Source organism: Homo sapiens, chromosome 9 (assembly GCF_000001405.40).
Source record: "Homo sapiens chromosome 9, GRCh38.p14 Primary Assembly".
NCBI classification, from domain to species: Eukaryota; Metazoa; Chordata; class Mammalia; order Primates; family Hominidae; genus Homo; species Homo sapiens.
In genome coordinates, this window is record NC_000009.12 from 114654089 (window position 1) to 114665522 (window position 11434).

General features: G+C 45.4%; 1 protein-coding gene and 1 long non-coding RNA gene across 3 annotated transcripts; one reads left to right on the plus strand and one right to left on the minus strand.

Moving 5' to 3' along the window:
- Positions 1-2215: 2215 nt before the first annotated feature.
- TEX53 (testis expressed 53) lies at positions 2216-3717 on the minus strand. The gene is made up of 2 exons (NM_001354645.2): positions 3578-3717; positions 2216-2544 (listed from the first exon to the last, which is right to left on the minus strand). The coding sequence occupies exons 1-2, from the start codon at positions 3684-3686 to the stop codon at positions 2441-2443; spliced, it is 213 nt and encodes a 70-aa protein (NP_001341574.1). The 5' UTR covers positions 3687-3717; the 3' UTR covers positions 2216-2440.
- A 110-nt stretch (positions 3718-3827) lies between these two features.
- On the plus strand, positions 3828-7292 carry LOC107987121 (uncharacterized). 2 transcript variants are annotated; one of them, XR_001746908.3, is made up of 2 exons: positions 3828-4125; positions 4903-7292. It is a non-coding gene; the product is annotated as an uncharacterized LOC107987121 (long non-coding RNA). The 2 variants fall into 2 exon arrangements; XR_007061744.1 differs by having other exon boundaries at positions 3828-3980.
- The last annotated feature ends 4142 nt before the right edge of the window (positions 7293-11434 follow it).

Sequence of the window (11434 nt, forward strand, 5' to 3'; positions counted from 1 at the left end):
ACCAGGCTGTCTATTGTGATTACTATTACACTCAAATCGTGGTGGCATGCGCCTGTAGTCCTAGCTACTTGGGAGGCTGAGGCAGGAGAATCGCTTGAACCCGAGAGGTGGAGGTTGCAGTGAGCTGAGATCGCACCACTGCACTCCAGCCTGGATGACAGAGCGAGACTCCGTCTCAAAAAACAAAACAAAACAAAACAAAATCCATCCTTCACATTATAGCCAGGATGGGCTTTTCATTGAAGGTATGAATTTTACTCCACATTGCCATGGCATAGACATCATATTCCTTTATTCTTCTCTTTTCTGAGGTGGGGAAGGCATAAGGAGTGCTAATTAATAAATTGTCTTCTGGCCGGGTGTAGTGGCTCACGCCTGTAATCCCAGGACTTTGGGAGGTTGAGATGGGCGGATCACCTGAGGTCAGGAGTTTAAGACCAGCCTGAACAAAATGGCAAAACCCCGTCTCTACTAAAAATACAAAAATTAGGCCGGGCGCGGTAGCTCACGCCTGTAATCCCAGCGTTTTGGGAGGCTGAGGCGGGCGGATCACCTGAGGTCAGGAGTTGGAGACCAGCCTGATCAACATGGAGAAACCCTGTCTCTACTAAAAATACAAAATTAGCCAGGCATGGTGGAGGGTGCCTGTAATCCCAGCTACTCAGGAGGCTGAGGCAGGAGAATCGCTTGAACCCGGGAGGCAGAGGTTGCTGTGAGCCGAAAGTGTGCCATTGCACTCCAGCCTGGGCAACGAAAGAGAAACTCCGTCTCAAAAAAAAAATTAAAAAAAAAAATTAGCTGGGTGTGGTGGCACTTTCCTGTAGCTACTTGGGAGGCTGAGGCAGGAGAATCCTTGAACCTGGGAGGTGGAGGTTGCAGCCAGCCAAGATCATGCCACTGCCCTCCAGGCTGGGTGACAGAGCAAGACTCCGTCTCAGACAAACAGACAAACAAACAAAAAAAGTGTTGTCTTCCAACTCGCCTTGTTTGTTATGGTCTGAATGTTAATGTTCCCCCAAATTCATGTGTTGAAATCTTAACTCCCAAGGTGATGGTATAAGAATTGTGGTCTTTGGGAGGTTTAGGAGGATTAGGTCATGAGAGCAGAGCCCTCACGATTGAGATTAGTGCCCTTATGAAAGAGCCTGAGAGAGACCCCTTGCCCCTTCTGCTATGTGAGAACACAGCAAGAAGCGCCCTCTATGAGGAACAGGCCCTCACCAGACACTGATGCTGCTGGAGTTTTGATCTTGGACTTCCCAGCCTCCAAAACTGTGAGAAATAAACTTCTGTTGTTTGTAAGTCACCCGGTTATGGTATCTTATTTTAGTAGTCTGAACAGACTAAGGCACTGTTCATAGTACAAAAGTTGGAAATCAGGCTGTGTCACTTTGTTGCTTAAAACTCACCTGTGGCTTCCCATTATTTTCAAGATAGAGTTCAGCTCCTTTTCCCTGGATACAAAGCTCTTGATGCTCTGCCCACTTCACCTCCCACCAAACCCTGGCTCAGGTTTTCACTTGAGTCATTCTAGACTTGGTACTTTGCTACCCTCATGCCCTCCCAGGTCGTGCCCCTATTTTCCAACTTTGCTGATTGTATTCCCTCCTTCTGGAATATCATCCCTTCTCCTTTTAGCTAACTTCCCTTCAAGCACCATCGCCTCCAGGAAGCCTTCCATTAATCCCCGAGTCAGTTGCAAAATGCTCCTTTGTCATTTTGCTTTCCAAGTTTTTGCCCTATTATGTCAGAGTGATACACTTCCATGCCTGGCTCCCTGGCTAATGTGGAAACCATGTGGGGTCTTCTGCATATTACTCACAGTTGCATACTCCGTGTTTCAGCACAAGCGGTGCTGCGTATCAGCACTGGCTACGCATTGCATAACTCTAGGGCTGCTGTTTGTAGAGTTTTTCACAACATGCCCTGCTGTTCCCTATGGCCCTGAGCGTCAAATGGAGTCGCACAGTAGGCAAGCAGAATTGTGCCCTGAAGCTCTGGACGTTTATGACAGTGGCCTGTTATACAAACTGGCCTCTCCTAATATAGCACTTCCCTGTTAGGTTGGTTAGGAGTGACTGAAACAAATGTGTTAATGCGTTAAAATGACAAAACCACATTTCTTTCCAAGAGGTGCCAGGGTCTAATTGCTCCATGTTTTTGGGAATCTCAGAGGTAGGGCTGGCAAAGGGGGAAGGAGGAGAGACACTTCCTCTGATGTGACCAAGGACTTTAATTGGAGGCGGCTCCCCCCCACGGTGGCTTTTTCAGAAGCTGGAGTGACTCTTGGTGGTGGCACAGGGATGGCTCAGACGTCTTCTCCTCCTGCAGGGGAGTTTCTGAATCAGTCTTCATGACTCTTGTCCACTGCCCTCTTCCTCATGGAAGCCCAGCAGCTGTGCAGCCGCAGGGACCACGTGGGTGCCGCCGGCTAGAATGCTCATGGCCTCCTAAGGATGCACGCCTTGAGCATCATGCGGTTGTCATAGGGGAGGCGTGGATGTCTTTTTGGTACAGCACTGTGGAGAGAATTTGTGTTCAGATCTGAAAGAACAGAGGAATAAACTTATCCTGGGTAAAGGCTTTGAGTGATGCGCGTATAACCTATCTTGGCCATACTCCACTCAGAGACTCCTCAAATCATTAATCTCTTTAAAAATAAAAGTTTGCTTGTATGAGCTAAGAATGATCTCGAGCTGGGTGAAGCAATGGAGATTTTAGAGTTTACTCATTACCTCAGCGTGGCCCAGCTGATCCTTATACACATCCACAGATATCATTTGTTGAATGTCTTTTTTTTTGTTTTGAGGTGGAGTCTCGCTCTGTCGCTCAGGCTGGAGTGCAGTGGCGCGATCTCGGCTCACTGCAAGCTCCGCCTCCTCGGTTCACTCCATTCTCCTGCCTCAGCCTCCTGAGTAGCTGGGACTACAGGCGCCCACCACCATGCCCCGCTAATTTTTTGTATTTTTAGTAGAGACGGGGTTTCACCGTGTTAGCCAGGATGGTCTCGATCTCCTGACCTCGTGATCTGCCCGCCTCAGTCTCCCAAAGTGCTGGGATTACAGGCGTGAGCCACCGTGCCCGGCCTTGTTGAATGTCTTCTTTGTGTGGGGCCATATGCATTCACTTACACACGGTGCCTGCCTTCATCCTCCTAACAGCCTGCACAGTGGGCAATATATTATCGTTATCCTCATTTTGGAGAGAAGGATGCTGAGGCTTAGAGAGGGAGGGTCGGCGACATGCCCAAACTCAGTAAGCAGCAGAGGCAGAGTTTAAACTACCATCTAATAAAGTACCACAAACTCAGTGAGAAATTAAATAAATCAACAAATGGCCATGGAGGACTAAAGCCAGTGATTTCAACGAATATCTACCACCTAATAACTAATCTCTAATAACTGATAGAGTCTTTAGACTGTGTTGTTCCAGGCTTGAGTAACTACGCCCTTTCCACACTCCCAGAAGGCTGAAAGAAGTCTGACTATGTCCCAGCAGGAGGTGGCCGGGGAGGCCGAGGCGCAGAGAATCATTCAGGTGTTCCTGACACTATCACACACCCACGTCTGGAACCTACTGAAGGACCGTGGATGATGCTGTTCGAACATTCTTGGATTGTGGAAGCCAACAGTGGTGGAAGACCCCTCGCTGGTCTTGCGGCAACAACAGAAGATCTTGGACCCCATGTTTTGGTGCGCGGTGGGAGGAGGAAAGGGCACTGGGGCTCCTGGCTCTGCAGCTCCAATCCCAGAAACCCATTGTTATTTAAGCGCTGGGTCATAGTGGGCCCTTCCCCTCTCTCTGACCTGCTGTAGCTCCCTGTGGCCAGCAGTTCCAGGCCCACCTGCCTGGGCCCACCACTCTGAGGGTCAGTCTTTCCTCAACTGTGCACATTTCTCCTACCTGTGGAAAGGACATGGAGCCTCCACTCTGCCAGTCTTTCCCTGTAGCGTTGCCTTCTTGAACCACAGATGTTGGAGGTCCAGCACAGTTCTCTGGGCAGGGTTGTTTTCTAGATGAACTTAAGACTGTAGCTGGAAAACGTGAATCTCTGCTTTGCCAGGTCCTATGGCAGCAGAACCCCAGGAGATGCGGCAGCCCACACAGACAAGCTTGTGTTTAAGGGTCAGATTTGCCTTCTCTCTAGGTGTATGTGTGCTCTTGGGTTGGTTCTGTAATCTCTTTGTGCCTCACTTTATTTTATTTTATTTATTTATTTTTTGAGACAGGGTCTTGCTTTGTAGCCCAGGCAGGAGTGAAGTGGCAAAATCATAGCTCACTGCAGCCTCGAACTCCTAGGCTCAAGTGATCCTCTTGCCTCAGCTTCCTGAGTAGCTGGGACTACAGGTGTGTGACACCGTATCTGGCTAATTTTTTTTTTTTTAAACTTTTTGTAGAGACCGGATCTTGCTATTCTGCCCAGGCTGGTCTTAAACTCTTCGCCTCAAGAGATCCTTCTGCCTCAGCCTCCCAAAGTGCTGGAATTACAGGCATGAGTCACTTTGCCCAGCCACTGGCCTCCCTTTCTTATCTGGAAAATGGGAACAGTAATACCACCTTGGAGTAATGAGTGTTTAATTGTCTGTAAACTGGCCGCTCTGATGGGAGGTACCCCAAAGTACTTTCTGTGCTCATTGTCTTCCCATATGGTTTGTTGGCTCCATTATTCCAGCTGGGCCCAGGTCCCACAGGAGCATGATGATGAAGCCCAGCTTTGCTGGTCCCAGTCCTGGCACTGCCACTAACTTGCTGTGTGGCTTTGGGCTAGCCCATACTGAGGCCCCCCGCATCTGCAACAGGAAGTCAGTGGGCTGCGTCATCTATCTTTCCAAGGATTCTCCCAGCTCTGATGACCGAAGGTTGTAAGTCTATGTTATTCCCAACCTCCTTTCTCTTTTCCAGGCTCTGGCCATCTGCTGTTGCTCCCCTTTCTCTGTGGCCAAAGCCCCACTCTGGAAATTTCCATCATCGGTGGTCGTGTGTCGATCACAGCACACTGGGTTCACTCCATGGCCTCATCCTTGGGTAGTGAGTTCCCACCCGTCCAGTGCTCCTCTCCAGCCTCAGTCACCAGCATCTCCTACTTGGATTATTGCAACGGCTCCTAAGCATCAGCATTAAGCACCAACACAGATGAATCCTCCTCCTACAGACATTAGATCATGTCACACCTCTGCCCAGACCTCCCAGTGGCTTCCAGTATCATGTTGAATAAAAGAAAAGTCTTTCCCTGGGCCTGTCTTGAAAAAACTCATAATCTAACCATTTATCCACTTGTCCCTCACTGTCTCCTGCTACTTTACCCTTCACCCCTTTCCCGCCACACCAAACACACCACTGTTTGCATTTCTGCTGGAACGCTCTTCCCCTAGAAATCCACAAGACTCATTCTCTCACTTGTTTCAAGCCTTTGCTTAAAGAACACTTCATCTTTTTTTTTTTTTTTTTGAATGGAGTATCACTCTATTGCCCAGGCTGGAGGGCAGTGGGGCGATCTCAGCTCACTAACCTCTGCCTTTGGGGTTCAGGCGATTCTTATTCCTTAGCCTCCTGAGTAGCTGGGATTACAGGTGCGCACCACCATGCCCGGCTAATTTTTGTGTTTTTAGTAGAGACGGGGTTTCACCATGTTGGCCAGGCTGGTCTCAAACTCCTGACCTCAGGAAATCTGCCTGCCTCGGCCTCCCAAGTTGCAAGGATTACAGGCGTGAGCCACCATGCCTGGCCATGAACACTTTTTCTAGTGAGGCCTTCTCTGGCCTATTTACTCTATTTAATTCTCTCTGTTTATTCCCTCTGTTTAAGCCTCCTCCCTGCTCCCAGCACTCTCTATTTCCCTTCCCCACCTCATGCTTCTCTGCAGCCCTTGTCATGTTCAGAAGTAGCCTAGAATTTATTTATGAGCACGTACTCACTTTCCCATTAGTAAACCCAGGAAGGCAGGGAGTCTCCTGTGTTCACTGCTGGGTCCCCAGTGCAGGGTGTAGGACAGGTGGTTAACAGCATTTATGGCATGGTTGGATGAACCTGTATGTATCTCACTTTGGTCTAGGGTCCAAGCAGGTGCTGTCACCGGGGAGCAGCAAGGAATGTCACAACAAGTAAGACACCACCTGCCTCATCCACCTGCCAAGCTGATGGATGGCTTTATGGATGACTTATAGGGTTGCTTTTGGCTGCCTTCTGATGGGACCACCTCTCTTCTCCACCCTCTCCATCCCAAACTTGCTTTTCCTCCTCTCATGTTTCCTATTTTGGGGACAGGTACCACTATTCATTTTGTGTCTGCAGCTAGAAATGGGGCACCCCTTACCTCCCCTCCGCTCACATTCATCAAGGCCTTTTGAATCTATCCCATAAATATCTCCATTGTCAGCCACCCTCCGTTGCCATTGCCCTCACCACTAGCGCCTCCTGCCTTTGGATCCTGACCACTGCTTTCCCACTAGCCTCTCTGGTGGCTCATCTGCAACCAGAAGATCTGCCCCTGGTGCAAATCCTGTTAGGTCACTCCTCCTCTGCCTTAACCCCTCAGTGGCTCCCCTGTTCTGCTGCTCGAACTTGTCTGAGGATCTGCCCCTGTCGACTTTGCCAGCTCCGTTCATTCCAACTCAGTCACTACTCTTCGGCCATAGGAGCTGCTGGCTGTGCTCCAGACTTTTTCTTACTGTTCCATCCCTGTGCCTCTGCACAAGCTGAAACCTGCCCCTCCATGTCCTCTCCTCATCACACTTGAAGACAGCTCAGGTGTCACTTCCTTCAAGAAGCCATTCCTTTTTTTTTTTTTTTTTTTGAGACAGAGTCTCACTGTATCACCCAGGCTGGAGTGCAGTGGTGCGATCTTGGCTCACTTCAACCATCCTCCACCCTTTGGGCTTAAGCGATTCTTTTGCCTCAGCCTCCTGAGTAGCTGGGATTATAGGTGCACACCATCACACCCAGCTAATTTTTGTATTTTTAGTAGAGACAGAGTTGTGCCATGTTGGTCAGGCTGGTCTTGAATTCCCGATCTCAAGTGATCTGCCCGCCTCTGTCTCCCAAGTTGCTGGGGTTACAGGTGTGAGCCACCATACCCAGCCAGGAAGCCATCTCTTAAACCTGGGATGAATTGAGGCATTTCCTTTATGGTTCCCTTGTCCCCTGGGCTTCCCTGTGTCCTGGACCTGACTGTCATTCCAGTGTCTGCCTAAACCACAGTGGATGCTCAGTAATATTTGTTGAATGGACTGTATTTTCACTGCCTGTTTATTTGCCTACAAAAAATCAGTGATTAAAAAAATTTGTTCAGCATATACTTTTTGAGGACCTACTGGTGCCAAGCACTGACTGTGGTGCTGGGGATACTGCCGTGGACAAGAGCAACAGAGCCTCACTCTCGAGGAGGCAGGGGTGGGTCCAGCCCACCTTCGGGTCCCAGGATGCAGCACCGGGCTGTGTGCAGAACGCGTATGCTCTCCATACTGATTGAATAAATACAGGAACATTGTCTGACTGTTGGACAATGGTACGCTCAATCCTTCACCCTGTTCTCCCTTCCATGAACAGGCTTTTTTTTTTCTTTAATGTCAGAAAGTTATGGGAATAGAAACAGAACACTGACATTCATTGAGCATTTGGGCAGGTCCTTTGACATTGCTGAGCTCATTTCATTTTCCTCTCCACCTTGCAAGGCAGGACTTTGTCTGATTTTCCAGATGGAGGGAATTGAGCCTAAGAAAGGTGACTTGCTCAGCTGTGGCAGCCAAGAGGAACAGCTGGGATTTTAATGTAGTTTTATCTGAAGCCAGATTTTATTCCGTCTATACAATTCCAGAATGAGATGTTCAGAACCACCTTGATCTCCAAGAGTTGATGGTAAGTGGTTTTTAAATGGAAAGGCTCCATCTGAAGCCTGGCAGAACAGCATAACAGTTAAGAGCACACTCCTTTTTTACTTAGATGGACTTCAGTTCTTAATTCCTGTTGCACCTTGCTGTGTAATTTCGGGCCGTTTAGCTTCCTTGAACCTCAGTTTTCCAGTCTGTGCAGTGGTATGGTGAAACCTACCCGCAGAATGCCGTTGTAAGGATTTGGTGACATAAAGATGTCAAGTGCTTTGCAGGGTATGCGGTACACAGTAGGCGTTTAATATCACTGAGATGCTGGCTGGGACAGAGTAGGGGTGGGTGTGGTGTTTCTTGCATTACCAGTGTCCGCCTCTAGAGGGAAGCAGGAGCCAAAGAAAAGGGCCCTTGGGCTGTCCCCACTGGGCTGTGAGTTTCAGGTCTCTAGGGACCCCACAGCACCTTGATCAGAATAAGAAAGATCAATGAAGTCAAACAGGAAGTCGTCTGGAGCTAGGGGAGCCCTCAGGAGTCTTTCAGCACAGTGGGGGAGACTGAGACCCAGAGACAGAGAAACAGTGGGGTCAAGGCAAATAAGGGGTGCTTCTTGTAGCAAAGTGAATAGGTGTCCAGGAGTGGCGGGGACATTTTCTGTTTTAGTACAGAAAAATTACGCCCTCTTACCCTTAGGTCTAACCTATGAGTCTCATTCACCTGCAGCTGGCAGAGTGGACAGGAGGCTGTCTGTGATGTCACAGAGTGGGGGAACCGGGGAATGTTGGGGACAGTGGGGTTTGGACTGAACCACAAAGGCAGGGAGGAGGGAGGACATATGCTGAGCCCCTCTCCAGCAGTCCATTCCTTTGTCCACCATGCTGTAATGTCCACTGTGCCTATCAGGTCGGCTGGAGTGGTTCTGCCTCACATGTCTCTTACCCCTTTTGGGTTAGTAGGCTAGCCAGGTGTGTTCTTCTTCTGGGGCTGCTAGAGGAAGACACAGCAAGCCCCACTGTGAAAACACATTTCTAAGCCCCTGTTAGTGTCCTATCTGTTATGTTTTCATTGGCCAAGCAAGTCATATGACAATTTAGTTCCTTCTCCCCAGGAAGGGGATGTTGGTGAATTCCCGACTGCTGCCACCTCCTCTCCTGTCCTGGCCTCTGTGCTGTTGTGGCAGAAACATGCCCCAGAGTGGGCTGCAGATTCTCCCAATGTGATTAGATGGGGCCCACCCAGGTAATTGTGAATTATCTCAAGGTCACTGATTAGCAACCTTAATTGTATCTTCAACTTTAATCTTTTGCAGTGGGGTCATTATTCTGTCTACCACTGTGTTTAAACACTTGTATCAAGAAAATAAAAGAATGAAATAATTTCCCAATTCTTAAAGCTGGAAAAAGAGCAACAAAGTAAGGAAAAGAAAGTATAAGATTAAAAGCAGAATTTACTAGAGTATTAAAAAGCAGATCTAATTAATCAAAATCTTTTTTTGAAAAAAATTAACAAAATAGAAATACTGTGTAGCTTAATCAGGAAAAAAAGGAGAAAGCAAAAATATATAAAATTAGAAAGAATAAGGGGGAAAAATTGTTGAAACAAAAGAAATTTTAAAAATCTTTAGAGTCCATAATATACTTTTATGTAAAAAAGTTTGAAAAACTATGAAGTAGATAGTTTTCTGGGAAAATAGTTTATTAAATTGACTGCATTAAAGATAGAAACTATCAATTTCTGTAGAAGAAATTTATTAAGAAACTACCCTCCCCCAAACAGGCAACAGGTCCAGAAGGTTGCACAAGGAGAGTTTCACCAAGCTTTTAAAGACCAGTTACAGTACTACATAAATTGTTCTAGAGCATATAAAATAAAACTTCCAAATTCTTTTTGTGAAGCAAGTGTATATTGATAACCGCATGTGATAGGGATAATCAAAAAGAAAATTACAAGGCAACGTTACCTACCAATACTGATACAAAAATTCTTAATAAAATATTAGTGAACAGAATCCAACCTCACAGTATGAAGATAATAAATCATGATCAGGTGAAATTTATCTGTGGAATGGAAGTTTGATTCGATATGAGTAAAGAAATTGTGATTTTTTTTATAGATGCTGAAAAAAGAAAAAAGAGGGAATTGATGGATATTATATTAATATGATAAAATGGCACTCTCTCTCTCTCTCTTTATCTCTACCTCTATGCCTTTGTCCTAAACCCAACTTCTTCCTTAATTTGCAAATACTGGAGCTATTTAAAATCAGGAACGAAGCACAGATATCTACTGACTTTAACATTGTAGCGGTGGCATTAACCATTGCAATCAGAAAAGGTAAATTGGAGACATAAAAATTAGAAGAAGAAGAAGTTAAAGTATTTCTACTTGCAGATTACATAATAGTATTACTGGTAAACCATCGGAAAGCAAAAACAAAACTACTCAAACAATGAAAGAATTCAGAAGGGAAGCAAGGCATACAATTAGCATACTGAACTCAATAGTGTTATTATACGCAAGCAATAACTAACTACAACAATAGTGAGAGAGAAAACTTCATTTACAATAGCAACAAAAGATAAAATACCTAGGAGTAAAGTTAATAAGAAATTTGCAAAATTAATATAAAGAACTCTTGAAAATAGTCCTGAAAGCCAACAAAGTAGGTTTGAACAAATGAAAAGACATTGGTTGGTGGTTAGGAAGAATCAATGTTATAGATGTGTCAGTTCTTCCTGATTTATAATTTTCCCTAATTTGTAAATTTAGCACAATCATGATGAAAATAACATCAAGATTTTTTCTGAAGCTAGACAAATTGATCCTAACATTTACATGAAAAAACAAGCAAGAATAAAACAGGCATTGGGCGACAGTGAGACTCCGTCTCAAAAAACAAACAAACAAACAAACAAACAAACAAACAAACAAAAAAACAGGCAGACTCCCCAGTGGAGTAGAATAGAAAGTTCAGAAAGAGACACAAATATATATGAAAATTTAGTGTATGATAATAAAGGTGTCATCTCAGATGGATGATTGGACCAAAGATATTCTCCTTAATAAATATGCTGAAATGACTATATAATCATTTGGAGAAAGTGTAAAGTTAGATCCATACTTCCTAAATACATAATAATAAATGCCAAATGGAATAGGTTATATTTCTGATGTATAATGCTATACAAGCAAACGAAGAAGTGTGGGTGAATTCCTCTATAAACTGGATGTAGGGAAAGGCTAACGACAACCCAAAGTCCAGATTCAATGAAACATTAATAAACTTGACTTTGAGGAGCTAGTATTTCTAGTATATAAAGAGCACTCAAAAATTAACAGGAAACAGGAAAAAGAAAAAAGAGTGGAAGACATAAACAGATCATTAATAAAAACATATAAAAATGACCCTTAAACATATGAATAGATGTTAGTCTTCACTCATGGTAAGGGAAATGCAGGTTAAAACCAAAATGAGATACCGTTTCTCACCTGTAGGATTGGGAGAGCCTAAACAGTTGCTGAGGGCATGAGGAAACAGGTATCTCAGATATCATATACTCTTACAGAACAGAACTTGGCAGCATCTAACAAAACTGTATATATCTTTTCCATTT

What these genes read in the sequence shown, in the direction of transcription:
- TEX53 (NM_001354645.2), bottom strand. Translation starts at nt 3,686, where the DNA reads ATGGGGTCCAAGATCTTCTGTTGTTGCCGCAAGACCAGCGAGGGGTCT. An exon ending in GCATCATCCACGGTCCTTCA is followed by an intron (nt 2,545 to 3,577) that starts GTAGGTTCCAGA and finishes CTGTTCTTTCAG; the next exon opens with ATCTGAACACAAATTCTCTC.